This window comes from Homo sapiens, chromosome 2, assembly GCF_000001405.40.
Source record: "Homo sapiens chromosome 2, GRCh38.p14 Primary Assembly".
In the NCBI taxonomy this organism is placed as follows: domain Eukaryota; kingdom Metazoa; phylum Chordata; class Mammalia; order Primates; family Hominidae; genus Homo; species Homo sapiens.
Genome location: NC_000002.12, coordinates 32,654,400 through 32,669,521, shown reverse-complemented (window position 1 = coordinate 32,669,521; position 15,122 = coordinate 32,654,400). Strand labels below are relative to the sequence as shown.

At 41.2% G+C, this 15,122-nt stretch overlaps 1 protein-coding gene across 5 annotated transcripts in view; it reads right to left on the bottom strand.

The window, feature by feature from the left end:
- TTC27 (tetratricopeptide repeat domain 27) overlaps window positions 1-15,122 on the bottom strand; it is a 193,002-nt gene that overhangs the window by 151,530 nt on the left and 26,350 nt on the right. For all 5 annotated transcript variants that reach the window (NM_017735.5, XM_011532958.3, XM_005264416.3 and 2 more), the window contains exons 6-7: window positions 5,055-5,219; window positions 2,754-2,887 (exon numbers count right to left, since the gene is read on the bottom strand). In NM_017735.5, the coding sequence (NP_060205.3) occupies window positions 2,754-2,887; window positions 5,055-5,219 (299 nt within the window). The remainder of the gene's footprint in view (window positions 1-2,753; window positions 2,888-5,054; window positions 5,220-15,122) is intronic.

Sequence of the window (15,122 nt, the reverse complement as noted above, 5' to 3'; positions counted from 1 at the left end):
TGGTTATTAAACAGATGGTGTATATTACAATCTAATAATGTGTTTAACACAAGGTAATATGATATATAACCAACTTAACAATTCTCTTCCACCCATTAGAATAAAGCTATGTTTCTATCTAATCCATACCTACAGCATACAACTTGTACTCTCCATCTTCAAGTAGTAATTAACAAAGACCATAAGATTATCTGAATGTATTTTATTTCACATACAAAAGATTAAATTCTGGCCGGTGCAGTGGCTCATGCCTATAATCCCAACAGTTTTGGGAGGCTGAGGAAAGTGGATGGCTTGAGCCCAGAAGTTCGAGACCAGCCTGGGCAACACGGTGAAACCCCATCTCTACCAAAAATACAAAAATTAGCCAGTCTCATAACCTGGTCTCTAAATAGATAAACAGGTAAAATTTATTTTTTATTTATTGATTTATTTTTTTTTTTGAGATGGAGTCTCACTCTGTCGCCCAGCCTGGAGTGCAGTGGCACGATCTCAGCTCACTGCAAGCTCCGCCTCCCGGGTTCACGCCATTCTCCTGCCACAGACTCCGGAGTAGCTGGGACTACAGGCGCCTGCCACCACTCCCAGCTAATTCTTTGTATTTTTAGTAGAGACGGGGTTTCACTGTGTTAGCCAGGATGGTCTCCATCTCCTGACCTCATGATCCGTCCACCTCGGCCTCCCAAAGTGCTGGGATTACAGGCGTGAGCCACCACGCCCAGCCAAAATTTTTAAAATAAAATAATTCTGAAAAAATTTCTGATAGCCACATGTAATATATTAAAAATGTTAACCACATTAACCCTGTAACATGTATTACATGGTGAATCCCAGCACTTTGGGAGGTTGAGGCAAGAAGATTGCTTGAGCCCAGGAGTTTGAAACAAACCTGGGCAATATAGTGAGAACTCATCTCCATTTAAAAATGGAAGGAAGGAAGGAAGGAAGGAAGGAAGGAAGGGAGGGAGGGAGGGAGGGAGGGAGGAAGGGAAGAAAGAAGAAAAGGAGAAAAGAAAAGAAAGAACAAGCAAAAAAACGATTAAAATTCTGTATTAAATGGTACATCATTTTCATACATTTCTCATAATACTCATCATATCCTATTTATCACCAGGAGATAATTTTCTTTTCTTTTTTTTTTTTTTCAAAGGGAGTTTTGCTCTTGTTGCCCAGGCTGGAGTTCAATGATGCAATTGCACTCATTGCTCATTGTAGCCTCCACCTCCTGGGTTCAAGCAATTCTCCTGCCTCAACCTCCCAAGTAGCTGGGATTACAGGCACACACCACCACAACTGGCTAATTTTGTTTTTTTGTTTATTTTCTTTTTTTTGAGACGGAGTCTTGCTCTGTCACCCAGGCTGGAGTGCAGTGGCATGATCTCGGCTCACTGCAAGCTCCGTCTCCCAGATTCACGCCATTCTCCTGCCTCAGCCTCCTGAGTAGCTGGGACTACAGGCACCCGCCACCACGCCCGGTTAATTTTTTTTTTTTGTATTTTTAATAGAGACGGGGTTTCACCATGTTAGCCAGGATGGTCTCAATCTCCTGACCTCGTGCACCCACCTTGGCCTCCCAAAGTGCTGGGATTACAGGCGTGAGCCACTGCACCTGGCCTAATTTTGTATTTTTAATAGAGACAGGGTTTCACCATTTTGGTCAGACTGGGCTCGAACTCCTGACCTCAAGTGATCCACCCACTTCAGCCTCCCAAAGTGCTGGGATTACAGGCATGAGCCACCATGCCAGGTCAATCACTGGGAGATACTTTTCTATAGAACAACTCCACATTAAAAAACAACAAACACAGCCAGGTGTGGTGGCTCACGCCTGTAATCCCAGCACTTTGGGAGGCCGAGACGGGTGGATCACCTGAGGTTGCGAGTTCGAGACCAGCCTGACCAACATGGAGAAACCCTGTCTCTACCAAAAATACAAAATTAGCCGGGCGTGGTGGTGCATGCCTGTAATCCCAGCTACTCGGGAGGCTGAGGCAGGAGAATCGCTTAAACCCAGGAGGCGGAGGATGCATTGAGCCGAGATTACGCCACTACACTCCAGCCTGGGCAATAGAGTGAGACTCCATCTCAAAAAAAAAAAAAAAAAAAAGTAGTTGGGGGTTTCTGGGATCAGAAAACACATGCATAAATACTAAACGGCTTCATGGAAGCAGCTGGAGTGGACTATAATTAGGTAAACTGACCAAGAGTCATAATTCAAACTAAAGAAGAGAATTCACTAGACATGTCAAATAAACATACTAAGGCAACCACCCCCCCAATAATGACAGAGAAACAAAAGGCCGATCACAAAACTAGTGAAAAGGAATTCTGATAATGTTTATATATTTAGAAAAAGCCTAAGAGATTCCAAGAGAAGACAAACATAAGGAAACAAATATGATAGCAGATAGAGAAACTGGTCTACACCCAGTCTGCCTTTCGTATTTCTTCAAGAGGGGTAATACATAACTAACTGCATCATTAATTCATAGTTATTGAATCCTAGAAGAAAAACAGTATTTATCTCTATATACAGGTTAGGAAAAAAAAAACACCAGTTTTTTCTATCACAGGTTAGGAAAAAAAAACACCAGTTAAACACCAGTTCTCCCTGACTCAGCAACCTTTAAAAGGCAAAAGAAAGAATAAAATGAAGTCTGTCCCCAACCCATTCAGTGTTTCTATGGTACTCAGCTATTGAAATTCTTAGACTCAGGTGTTAATTGAATTTAATAACTTAATGTCCTACTTGCCTTGGTTAAATGTTCCTGAGGAGTGGGTGCTGGAGTGAATTCACAATTTGAAAGGACATCCCCTTCCCTTCTTACATCTAGAATCAGTTGTGCCACATAATTTTCCTGGAACCGTGTTCTTTTTCCCAAAGCACCTGAAAAAACAATAAAATTATATCTACTGACTTACCCATGAGATCTACTGTACAGTCATGAAGAGTAATATTTTCAGAGTGCTTTAGAGTTTACAAGGTATTTTCTCCATTTCACATAAGAAAGTCCTGAGGCCCAGCCTCAGGTTTTAAATGACTTATAAAATTAGAAAGCCAACAAGCTCTGGTACCAGGACTCAAACCCAGGATTTCTGCCACTACAGTCCACATACTAATTTTTGCATCAAACTACCACCCTTTAAAAAAAAAAAAAAAAAGTAACACATTGAGTGTTGTAGGTAGAAGAACTATTATTATCTCTTTTTCACAGATGACAGAAACAAAAGTTCTAAAGAATACAGTCATTTGTTCATGATCACAGGGCTTCTCAGCATCAGAACCAGAGCTTAAAGCCAGGATCTTTTGGTTCTATATCAACAGTTTATTACACTATCTGACTTCATGTAAGACCAAAATTTTTTCATTATGTCTCTGAAATAACTTACTGCAGAATAGCTGTTTTCAAACCACTTTAAGAAAAGCAAAAGTTCCAACATCCACTCTCTGGACAAGGTCAGATTACAAAGATCCTTGATTACAAAGACCAGTCTAGAAAGTCTGGATTTTATCCTGTTATGAGTCTGGCTCTAAGTCATACATTAACCTTTTAAATATGTTATGCTGAAGATAGCCACTGAAATTGTTTGATACAGCTTACTTTTTTATTTTATTTTATTTTATTTTTTATGAGATGGAGTCCTGCTCTGTTGCCAGGCTATAGTGCAGTGGTGCGATCTCAGCTCACTGCAACCTCCGACTCCCTGGTTCAAGCAAATCTCCTGCCTCAGCCTCCAGAGTAGCTGGGATTACAGGCATGCACCACCACACCCAGCTAATTTTTGTATTTTTAGTGAGGCGGGTTTTGCCATGTTGGCCAGGATGGTCTCGATCTCCTGACCTCATGATCTGCCCGCCTCAGCCTCCCAAAGTGCTGGGATTACAGGCATGAGTCACAGCACCTGTCACAGTTTATTTTTTATAGGAAGGCTATAGATGAGTGGAAAAAAAGAATAACCTGATTCTCATATTTGTGAACATCACATTTGTATTTCTAAGTTCTTCAACTCTAACTTAGAAAACAAAATATGAAGAACTAGCTAGTAAATATACCAACAATTAAGTATTATGGCATCAATAGTCCCAAAAAAGCCTCCTAGAATCAAAATATTTAAAAACATAACTTCTGAAACTAACCTCACAAGATACATTACATACATTTTCATATACAGACAACTTACACATGGCCATTGTTCCAACTTATACTTGGCCAGTGTTCCAAGTTATAAGCTGGATATTAAACAATTTTGCCCACACACACAATGTAACAAAAGGTAGCTAAGATCCAAGACAAGCCCACAAAATCATATTTATTCATAATATATTGGAAGGATTTTACTGATAGAACTAGCTCTCTAAGAAGCACAGAATGTGGGCTGGGCGTGGTGGCTCACACCTGTAGTCCCAGCACTTCGGGAGGCCAAGGCGGGCGGATCACTTGAGGTCAGGAATTCAAAACCAGCCTGGCCAACATGGTGAAACCACATCCCTACTAAAAATACAAAAAAAAAATAAAAAAAATTAGCCAGGCGTGGTGGTGGGCACCCGTAATCCTAGCTACTAGGGAGGCTCAGGCAGGAGAATTGCTTGAACCCAGGAGGCCAAGGTTGCAGTGAGCCAAGATCACGCCACTGCACTCCAGCCTGGGCGACAGAGCGAGACTCGGTCTCAAAAAAAAAAAAAAAGCAAGATGGAAAGAATAGGTGGGTATTTACAAGAAAGGGCAATGCAGAGAGGCCAAACTTGGTCAGGAAACACCCCTATGGGCCCATCCCCCAAAGGCTCAAAAGTGTGTTTGTGTACTGCCTGGCTGCTATCTATTACTAACACGGCTAAACAGATCAGCGCAATAAATGGAAAACTCTAGAAATAAGGAAAATATATCATTTCAAATTTGTTATAAACTATAAATTTGTAAATAAAACCTTTAAAGTCTACTTTTGTAAAGCAAATAGGATATAGAAAATCTAATACCAACATACAATACAAACTGCCAATGTATATAGTTTTATCATAAAAATAAAATCAATTATCCACAAAAAATAAGTCTTACCTGTCAAATCAATTTGTAATTGGCTGATGTCCTTAGCAATATCCAACTGATCTTTTGCTTTTCTGTACTCATAATAATATAAAAACACATATGCACATTCCAGATGGAATTGAATAGCCAAATATCGACCTGAATCATCTACAAACAGATTCTGTAGTTTCATCACTGCAAGACAAAAGATAAAACATTAAAAGTTATGATGAGAAGAAAAATATATTAATGTGTAAAATAGAGTCTATAATACATAAAGTATATAGTACATAGTCTCTGTTGTTAAATAATTTTAAACATAAGACCTGAGGAATACAGTAACACTAATAGTTACCAGCCAGCATTATCTGAGCACTTATATGCTCCAGACATGAGCTAAGGACATTATGTACACTATCTCCTTTATTCCACACAATCCTGGGAGATATGATTCATAACCTTGCTCTTTCTCAGCGGGTTTGTCTTAACAATGCCAAAAAAAAAAAATAGTGGGGGGACGGGCGCAGTGGCTCACGCCTGTAATCCCTGTACCTTGCGAGGCCGAGGTGGGCGGATCACAAGGTCAGGAGTTCGAGACCAGCCTGACCAACATGGTGAAACCCCATCTCTACTAAAGATACAAAAATTAGCCGGGCATAGTGGCATGCGCCTGTAGTCCCAGCTACTCAGGAGGCTGAGGCAGGAGAATCGCTTCAACCCAAGAGGCAGAGATTGTAGTGAGCTGAGATCGCACCACTGCACTCCAGCCTGAGCGACAGAGCAAGAACCCGTCTCCAAATAAATAAATAAATAAATACATACATACATACATACATACATACATACATACATACATACATAAATAGGGGGTGGCTGTCAAGATGGCCAATAGGAACAGCTCCCGTCTCCAGCTCCCAGCGAAATCAAGGCAGAAGGCAGGTGATTTCTGCATTTCCAACTGAGGTACCAGGCTCATCTCACTGGGACTGGTTAGACAGTGGGTGCAGCCCATGGAGGGCGGGCCAAAGCAGGGCGAGGCGATCACCCGGGAAGCACAAGGGGTCGTGGAACTCTCTCTCCTAGCCAAGGGAAGTCCTGAGGGACTGTGCCATGAGAAATGGTGCATTCTGACCCAGATACTAAGCTTTTCCCGTCTTCTCAACCTGCAGGCCAGGAGATTCCCTCGGGTGCCTACACCACCAGGGCCCTGGGTTTCAAGCACAAAACTGGGCAGCCGTTTGGGCAGACACAAAGCTAGCTGCAGAAGTTTTTTCATACCCCAATGGCTCCTGGAATACCAGCAAGATAGAACCATTCACTCCCCTGGAAAGGGGCCTGAAGCCAGGGAACCAAGTGGTCTAGCTCAGCTGATCCCACCCCCATGAAGCCCAGCAAGCTATGATCCACTGGCTTGAAATTCTCACTGCCAGCACAGCAGTCTGGTCAACCTGGGACACTCGAGCTTGGTGGGGACAGGGGCGTCCACCATTAGTGAGGCTTCAGTAGGTGGTTTTCCCCACACAGTGTAAACAAAGAATCTCTGGACACAGCTAAAGCAGTGTTCAGAGAGAAATTTATAACACTAAATGCTCATAGGAGAAAGCAGGAAAGGTCTAAAATCGACACCCTAACATCACAATTGAAAGAACTAGAGAAGCAAGAGCAAACAAATTCAAAGGCTAGCAGAAGGCAAGAAATATCTAAAATCACAGCAGAACTGAAGGAGATAGAGACACAAAAAACCCTTCCAAAAAAAAATAAACAAATGAATCCAAGAGCTGGTTTTTTGAAAAGGTTAACAAAGTAGATAGACCGCTAGCCAGACTAATAAAGAAGAAAAGAGAGAAGAATCAAATAGGTGCACTAAAAAATGATAAAGGGGATATCACCACTGATCCCACAGAAATACAAACTACCATCAGAGAATACTATAAAAACCTCTATGCAAATAAACTAGAAAATCTAGAAGAAATGGATACATTCCTGGATGCATACACCCTCCCAAGACTAAACCAGGAAGAAGTCAAATCCCTGAATAGACCAATAGCAAGTTCTGAAATTGAGGCAGTAATTTATAGCCTACCAACCAAAAAAAGCCCAGGACCAGACAGATTCACAGCCGAATTCTACCAGAGGTACAAAGAGGAGCTGGTACCATTCCTTCTGAAACTATTCCAATCAATAGAAAAAGAGGGACTCCTCCCTAACTCATTTTATGAGGCCAGCATCATCCTGATACCAAAACCTGGCAGAGACACAACAAAAAAAAGAAAATTTCAGGCCAATATCCCTGATGAACATTGATGCAAAAATCCTCAATAAAATACTGGCAAACTGAATCCAGCAGCACATCAAAAAGCTTATCCACCACAATGAAGTTGGCTTCATCCCCAGGATGCAAGGCTGGTTCAACATATGCAAATTAATAAACATAATCCATCACATAAACAGAACCGTGACAAAAACCATAAGATTATCTCAATAGATGCAGAAAAGGCCTTCAGTAAACTTAAACAGCCCTTCATGCTAAAAACTCTCAATAAACTAGGTATTGATGGAACGGATCTCAAAATAGTAAGAGATATTTATGACAAACCCACAGCCAATATCATACTGAATGGGCAAAAGCTGGAAGCATTTCCTCTGAACACTGGCACAAGACAAGGATGCCCTCCCTCACCATTCCTATTCAACATAGTGTTGGAAGTACTGGCCAGGGCAATCAGTCAAGAGAAAGAAATAAAGGGTATTCAAATAGGAAGAGAGGAAGTCAAATTGTCTCTGTTTGCACATGACATTATCGTATATTTAGAAAACCCCATCGTCTCAGCCCAAAATCTCCTTAAGCTGATAAGCAACTTCAGCAAAGTCTCAGGATACAAAATCAATCTACAAAAATCACATATTCCTATACACCAATAACAGACAAATGGAGAGCCAAATCATGAGTGAACTCCCATTCAAAATTGCTACAAAGAGAATAAAATACCTAGGAACACAACCTACAAGGGATGTAAAGGACCTCTTCAAGGAGAACTACAAACCACTGCTCAAGGAAATAAGAGAGGGCACAAACAAATGGAAAAACATTCCATGCTCATGGATAGGAAGAATCAATATGGTGAAAATGGCCATATTGCCCAAAGTAATTTATAGATTCAATGCTATCCCCATCAAGCTACCATTGACTTTCTTCACAGAATTAGACAAAAACTACTTTAAACTTCATATGGAACCAAAAAGAGCCCGTATAGCCAAGACAATCCTAAGCAAAAAGAACAAAGCTGGAGGCATCACACTACCTGACTTCAAACTATACTGCAAGGCTACAGTAACCAAAACAGCATTGTACTGGTATCAAAACAGATATATAGACCAATGAAACAGAGTAGAGGCCTCAGAAATAACGCCAAACATCTACAATCATTTGATCTTTGACAAACATGACAAAAACAAGCAACAGGGAAAGGATTCCCTATTTAATAAATGGTGTTGGGAAAACTGGCTAGCCATATGCAGAAAACTGAAACTGGACCCCTTCCTTACACCTTATACAAAAATTAACTCAAGATGGATTAAAGACTTAAACGTAAGACCTAAAACCATAAAAATCCTAGAAGAAAACCTAGGCAATACCATTCAGGACATAGGCATGGGCAAAGACTTCATGTCTAAAACACCAAAAGCAATGGCAACGAAAGCCAAAATTGACAAATGAGATCTAATTAAACTAAAGAGCTTCTGTATAGCAAAAGAAACTATCATCAGAGTGAACAGGCAACCTACAGAATGGGAGAAAAGTTTTGCAATCTACCCATCTAACAAAGGGCTAATATCCAGAATCTACAAAGAACTTAAACAAATTTACAAGAAAAACACAACTCCATCAAAAAGTGTCCCCTAGTCCCCCACCCCCCATGATGTTCCCCTCCCTGTGTCCATGTGTTCTCATTGTTCAACTCCCACTTATGAGTGAGAACATGCAGTGTTCGGTTTTCTGTTCCTGTGTTAGTTTGCTGAGAATGATGGTTTCCAGCTTCATCCATGTCCCTGCAAAGGACATGAACTCATCCTTTTTTATAGCCGCATGGTATTCCATGGTGTATATGTGCCACATTTTCTTTATCCAGTCTATCATTGATGGGCATTTGGGTTGAAAGATATGAGCAGACATTTCTCAACAAAAGACATTTATGAAGCCAATAAACATATGAAAAAAAGCTCATCATCACTGGTCATTAGAGAAATGCAAATCCAAACCACAATGAGATACCATCTCATGCCAGTTAGAATGGCGATCATTAAAAAGTCAGGAAACAACAGATGCTGGAGAAGATGTGGAGAAGTAGGAACACTTTTACTCTGTCGGTGGGAATGTAAATTAGTTCAACCATTGTGGAACACAGTGTGGCGATTCTTCAAGGATCTAGAACCAGAATTACCATTTGACCCAGCAATCCCATTACTGGGTATACACCCAAAGGATTATAAATCATTCTGCTATAAAAACACATGCACACATATGTTTACTGCAGCACTGTTCACAATAGCAAAGACTTGGAGTCAACCCAAATGCCCATCAATGATAGACTGGATAAAGAAAATGTGGCACATATACACCATGGAATACCATACGGCTATAAAAAAGGATGAGTTCATGTCCTTTGCAGGGACATGGATGAAGCTGAAAACCATCATTCTCAGCAAACTAACACGGGAACAGAAAACCAAACACTGCATGTTGTCACTCATAAGTAGGAGCTGAACAATGAGAACACATGGACACAGGGAGGAGAACATCATGTGGGGTGGAGGACTAGGATAGCATTAGGAGATATACCTAATGTAGATGATAGGTTGATGGATGCAGCAAACCACCATGGCACGTGCATACCTACTTAACAAACCTGCACGTTCTGCACATGTATCCCAGAACTTAAAGTATAATAAAATAAAAATTAAAAACATGGCAACATAAGGTGTTGATACAAAGTACCATGAATCTGCAACAGTTAAACATATTTTTATGGCGTGAAAATGTACACATCAAAGAAACTGGTTAGAACCAAATATTAAATTGGTAAGATAAAGAAAAAATAGAGTTGTACTTCAATGAGATCCTTAAAAAAAAAAAAAAAAAAAGAGGTAACACCAAAAATCTGATGAAGACGATATCAGTTTACAAGTTTTCTTCAGAGAGAATGTAGAATTTCTCCCTTAAAAGAAAAGGAGGGGCTGGGCATCGTGGCTCACGCTATAATCCAAGTGCTTAGGAAGACCTAGGTGGAAAGATTGCTTGAAGCCAGGAGTTCAAGACAAGCCTGAGCAACATAGAGTGGACTCATCTCAACAAAAAAATAAAAATATTAGTCAGGCATGGTGGAGCATGCCTGTAATTCCAGGTACTCAGGAGGCTGAGACGGGAGGATCATTTGAACCCAAAAGTTCAAGGCTGCAGTGAGTTATGATCATGCCACTGCATTCCAGTCTAGGTGACAGACTGAGACCCTGTCTCTAAAAATAAAAGAAAAGGGGAAACAGATATACATCCATATATCTAATACAATATGAACATCAAATAAGGAATAAGTGAATATTGGCTTGGCAGTCAGATTCTAATTTATTTCACTAAATATCTAAGATGAAAAGAATGGAGGATAATAACCTAGTAAAACAGCATCTGAAATAAAATGACTGTCAAAATTAACTACATATAAAGACAGGCTAGTTGACATACAAGTAACAAGTAACAAGGGTGTCTAACAGGCACCCTTATCCAATTGATCCCCCAAACAGAATTCCCTTCTATAATATCACTGACAAACTATCTCTCACAAATGTTTCCAATATGTGTTAGCCAGCATTTCACAAAACAGCCTACCAGAATGAATACATAATGAATGAATGGAACACAAAGGCTGATGACAGTTTTCCCATCATTCAAGCTAAAAGAGAAGTTATTTTTACTGAATATCTAACTCTGCCTAGGAATGGGTATTTTACATGTTGCGTTATTTAATTCTCACAATGATGTATTGGAGGCTGACATTATCTCCACTTAATTCATTATAAAATTGAGCTCAGGCTGGGCACAGAGCCTCATACCTATAATTCCAGCACTTGGGGAGGCTGAGGTGAGATGATCACTTGAAGCCAGGAATTCAAGACCAGTCTGGGCAACATAGCAAGACCACATCTCCACAATAAATTAGCCAAGCATGGTAATACGCTCCTGTAGTCCCAGATACTGGAGAGGACGAAGTGGGAGGATCTCTTGAGCACAGGAGGTTGAGGTTGCAGTGAGATATTATTACACCACTGCACTCCAGCCTAAGCAACAGAGCAGTCTCTAAAAAAAAATTTTAAATAGGGCCGGGTGCAGTGGCTCATGTCTATAATCCCAGCACTTTGGGAGGCCAAGGTGGTGGATCACCTGAGGTCAGGAGATCGAGACCAGTCTGGCCAACATGGTGAAACCCTGTCTCTACCAAAAATACAAAATTAGCTGGGCGTGCTGGCACGCGCCTGTAATGCCAGCTTCTTGGGAGGCTGAGGCTGGAGAATCACTTGAACCCCGAAGGTGGAGGCTGCAGTGAGCTGAGATAGTGCCATTGCACTCCAGCCTGAGCAAAAAAAGAGTGAAACTCCATCTCAAAAAAAAATTTTTTTTTTAATTTACATTTTAAAAAGAAAAGAAAATTGAGCTCAGCTTACTGACTGGTCACCTCATTAAGTGGCAATGCCAGGATGTGAATCCAAGCTTGTAGGGGAAAGGGGTATGAAAAAGTTTTTAGGGGAAGGATAAAGGTGCAGAGCTGATGCTACAAAAGCCCAATCTACTGTATCACCTATAATCTGGCAGAAACACCTACAGCTAAGAAACAGATACCCCTTTGTCTTTACGTGAACTGAAATTTAAATGGGTCTGAAAAAGAAAGTGTTTCGGTGAAACTCCGTCTCTACTAAAAATACAAAAATTAGCCAGGCATGGTGGCAGGCGCCTGTAGTCCTAGCTGCTCGGGAGGCTGAGGCAGGAGAATGGCGTGAACCCAGGAGGCGGAGCTTGCAGTGAGCCAAGATCATGCCACTGCACTCCAGCTTGGGCGACAGAGAGAGACTCCGTCTCAAAAAAAAAAAAAAAAAAGAAAGACAGTGTTTTTCTACGGTCCATTTAAGAGATTCTCTGGACTCAAAGAGAGTAAGTCAAGATGTACATGTCTCACCTCAGAAGGCACATAGGCATCCTAACGTGAACTTCACTGAGGTGGGCAGACCACGAGGTCAGGAGATCGAGACCATCCTGGCTAACACAGTGAAACCCCGTCTCTACTGAAAATACAAAAAATTAGCCGGGCACGGTGGTGGGCACCTGTAGTCCCAGCTTCTCAGGAGGTTGAAGCAGGAGAATGGCATGAACCTGGGAGGCAGGGCTGGCAGTGAGCCGAAATCGTGCCACTGTACTCCAGCCTGGGCAACAGAGCAAGATTCCGTCTCAAAAAAAAAAAAAAAAAAGAATTGTGCTAGATCTTACTGCAAGGTTTAAGTCCTATTCTTCCCTAAAAATGGGGTAGGGTAGGAAGAGCTAGGTAGCTAAGAAGAGAAGACACACAATCATTATTGAATGATTCAATATGCAGTTAGTTTGATTATAAATTGTGTGCCATTGACCAAAAGTAGCAGAGGGGGAAACCCATAAAGACTGGATAATTGAACAAACCTTATCAGAAGGGTGGGGCCTTAAAAGATGGGTAGAATTTGGCTACAACCTCACACATCAAGTTTGTAAGGTTTACCAAGGAGGGGTCCATGTGTGTCTCATCCACTGGTATAGGCCCAGCACCTATCACAGCTCAAATAATATCCTCGGAGTGAGCAAATATTCTAAAAACCCTTTCGTGGTGATCACCAAGGAGATGAAAATCCAGCATCCTCGTGATCTAGCTCCTTCCCACCTGTAAACCTCATCAGCTGAGACACACACCCTTCACACTCTGCTCCAGGCATTCCAAACTACTGGAATTCCCAAATTCACAAAGATGTTCCAAGTCTCTGTGCCTCTCTTGCACATAGTACATGTCCTTTCCAAGTTCTCTACCTAAAAAATTCCCACCATTCTTTAAGATTCAGTGCAAGTATCAGCCACTTCGTGAAGGTTTCTCTGACCTCCCGGTTCAGAACAATCACATTCTCTCCCTCATTCCTTACTCTGCATTACCTGTTTGTCCTACCTGTATTTTAGTCCTTATCTCACTAAGTTCACTGATATCCACAGCACATAGCGCAGTGTCTGGAACACAGCAAGCACTCAAGAGTTTATTAAATTAAATATCAAACTCAGCAGGAGATAGAAGGCCAAAGATAAAACTGGGACTAATTAAAAATTTCCTCATTAAAAAAAAAAGACATTATGAAATTGGCATTTAGAAAACTCAAGCCAGTACTCAATAGCAGTGTTGTTCAATGCAACTTTCCCTGATGTTGTTGAGCAGTCTACAGCTGCTTGTCCAGATGGTAGCCGTTAGCTACATGTGGCTTCTGAGCACCTGAAATGTGGCTAGTGAAACTGAGGAACTGAATTTGCAATTTCATCTATTTTACTTTATTTGAATTTAAGTAGCCATACATGGCTAGTGGCTACCATATTGAATAGTACAGCTCTAGTTAGCAGAAATACTGCATGAAAGTGACAGAATATAAGATTTTGTAATTAATTTTAAAAGTACTGGGTGACAGATCGAGACTCTGTCTCTCAAAAAAAAAAAAAAGGACTTTGTAGCAATTATTAATCCTAACAATGAAATGAGCTCCTTCTCAAAGTAATCTCTGAAACTGTCCAACAAAAAAGGGGATAATTTTTTAGATGCAAACTTCCAAGAGTCCACCATTGGTATGAGTGAGAAGCTGGACTACAAAACGTCACATTATTTTATACCTGGAAAGAATTCAAAGAATATTTTATAAGGAAGTGAACCTTGGTTTGGAAGTCAAGTGAACTGCTTGAGTTCATACAGGGAATCAGGAACTAAAAGCTAGATTTTAAAATGCTATGTCAGGCTGGGCATGGTGGCTTATGCCTTTAATTCCGCACTTTGGGAGGCCGAGGTGAGAAGATCCCTTGATGCCAGGAGTTCAAGACCAGCCTAAGCAATATAATGAGACTTCTGAATTTTAAATTTCTCTACAGAAAAATTTAAAAAATAGCCAGGCGGGCCAGGCACAGTGGCTCACTCCTGTAATACCAGCACTTTGGGAGGCCAAGGCAAGCAGATCATGAGATCAGACTTCAAGACCAGCTTGGCCAACATGGTGAAACCTCATCTCTGCTAAAAATACAAAAAAAAATTGGCCAGACATGGTGGCGGGCACCCATAGTCCCAGCTGCTTGAGAGGCTGAGGTAGGAGAATCACTTGAACGCAGGAGGCAGAGGTTGAGTTGAGCCGAGGTCACGCCATTGCACTCCAGCCTGGGTGACAGAGTGAAACTCTGTCTCAAAAAAAAAAAGGCCAGACGCAGTGGCTCATGCCTGTAATCCAAGCACTTTGGGGGGCTGAGGAGGATGGATCATTTGAGGTCAGGAGTTGGACACCAGCCTAGCCAACATGGTGAAACCCCATCTCTACTAAAAATATAAAAATTAGCCAGGCATGGTGGTGGGCACCTGTGATCTCAGCTACTTGGGAGGCTGAGGAAGGAGAATCTCATGAACCCGGGAGACAGAGGTTGCAGTGAGCCAAGATCACGCCATTACACTCCAGCCTGGGCAACAGAGCGAGACTCCATCTCAAAAAAAAAAAAAAAATTAGCCATGTATGGTGGCAAGCGCCTATACTCCCACCCATTCAGAAGGCTAAGGTAGGAGGATCACTTGAGCCCAGGATTTCAAAGTTGCAGTGAGTCTAGATCGCATCACTGCACTCCAGCACGGATGACAGAGCAAGACCCTGCCTCAAAAAAATAATAACAACATGAAATGCTATACCCTGTTAATCATCTTAATTGTGATGATTTCACAGGTGTATGCATATACAAAATGTCACAAATTGTACACCTTAAATATGAGATCTTATTATAGGTTAATTAAACTTGAAAAAAAAGCT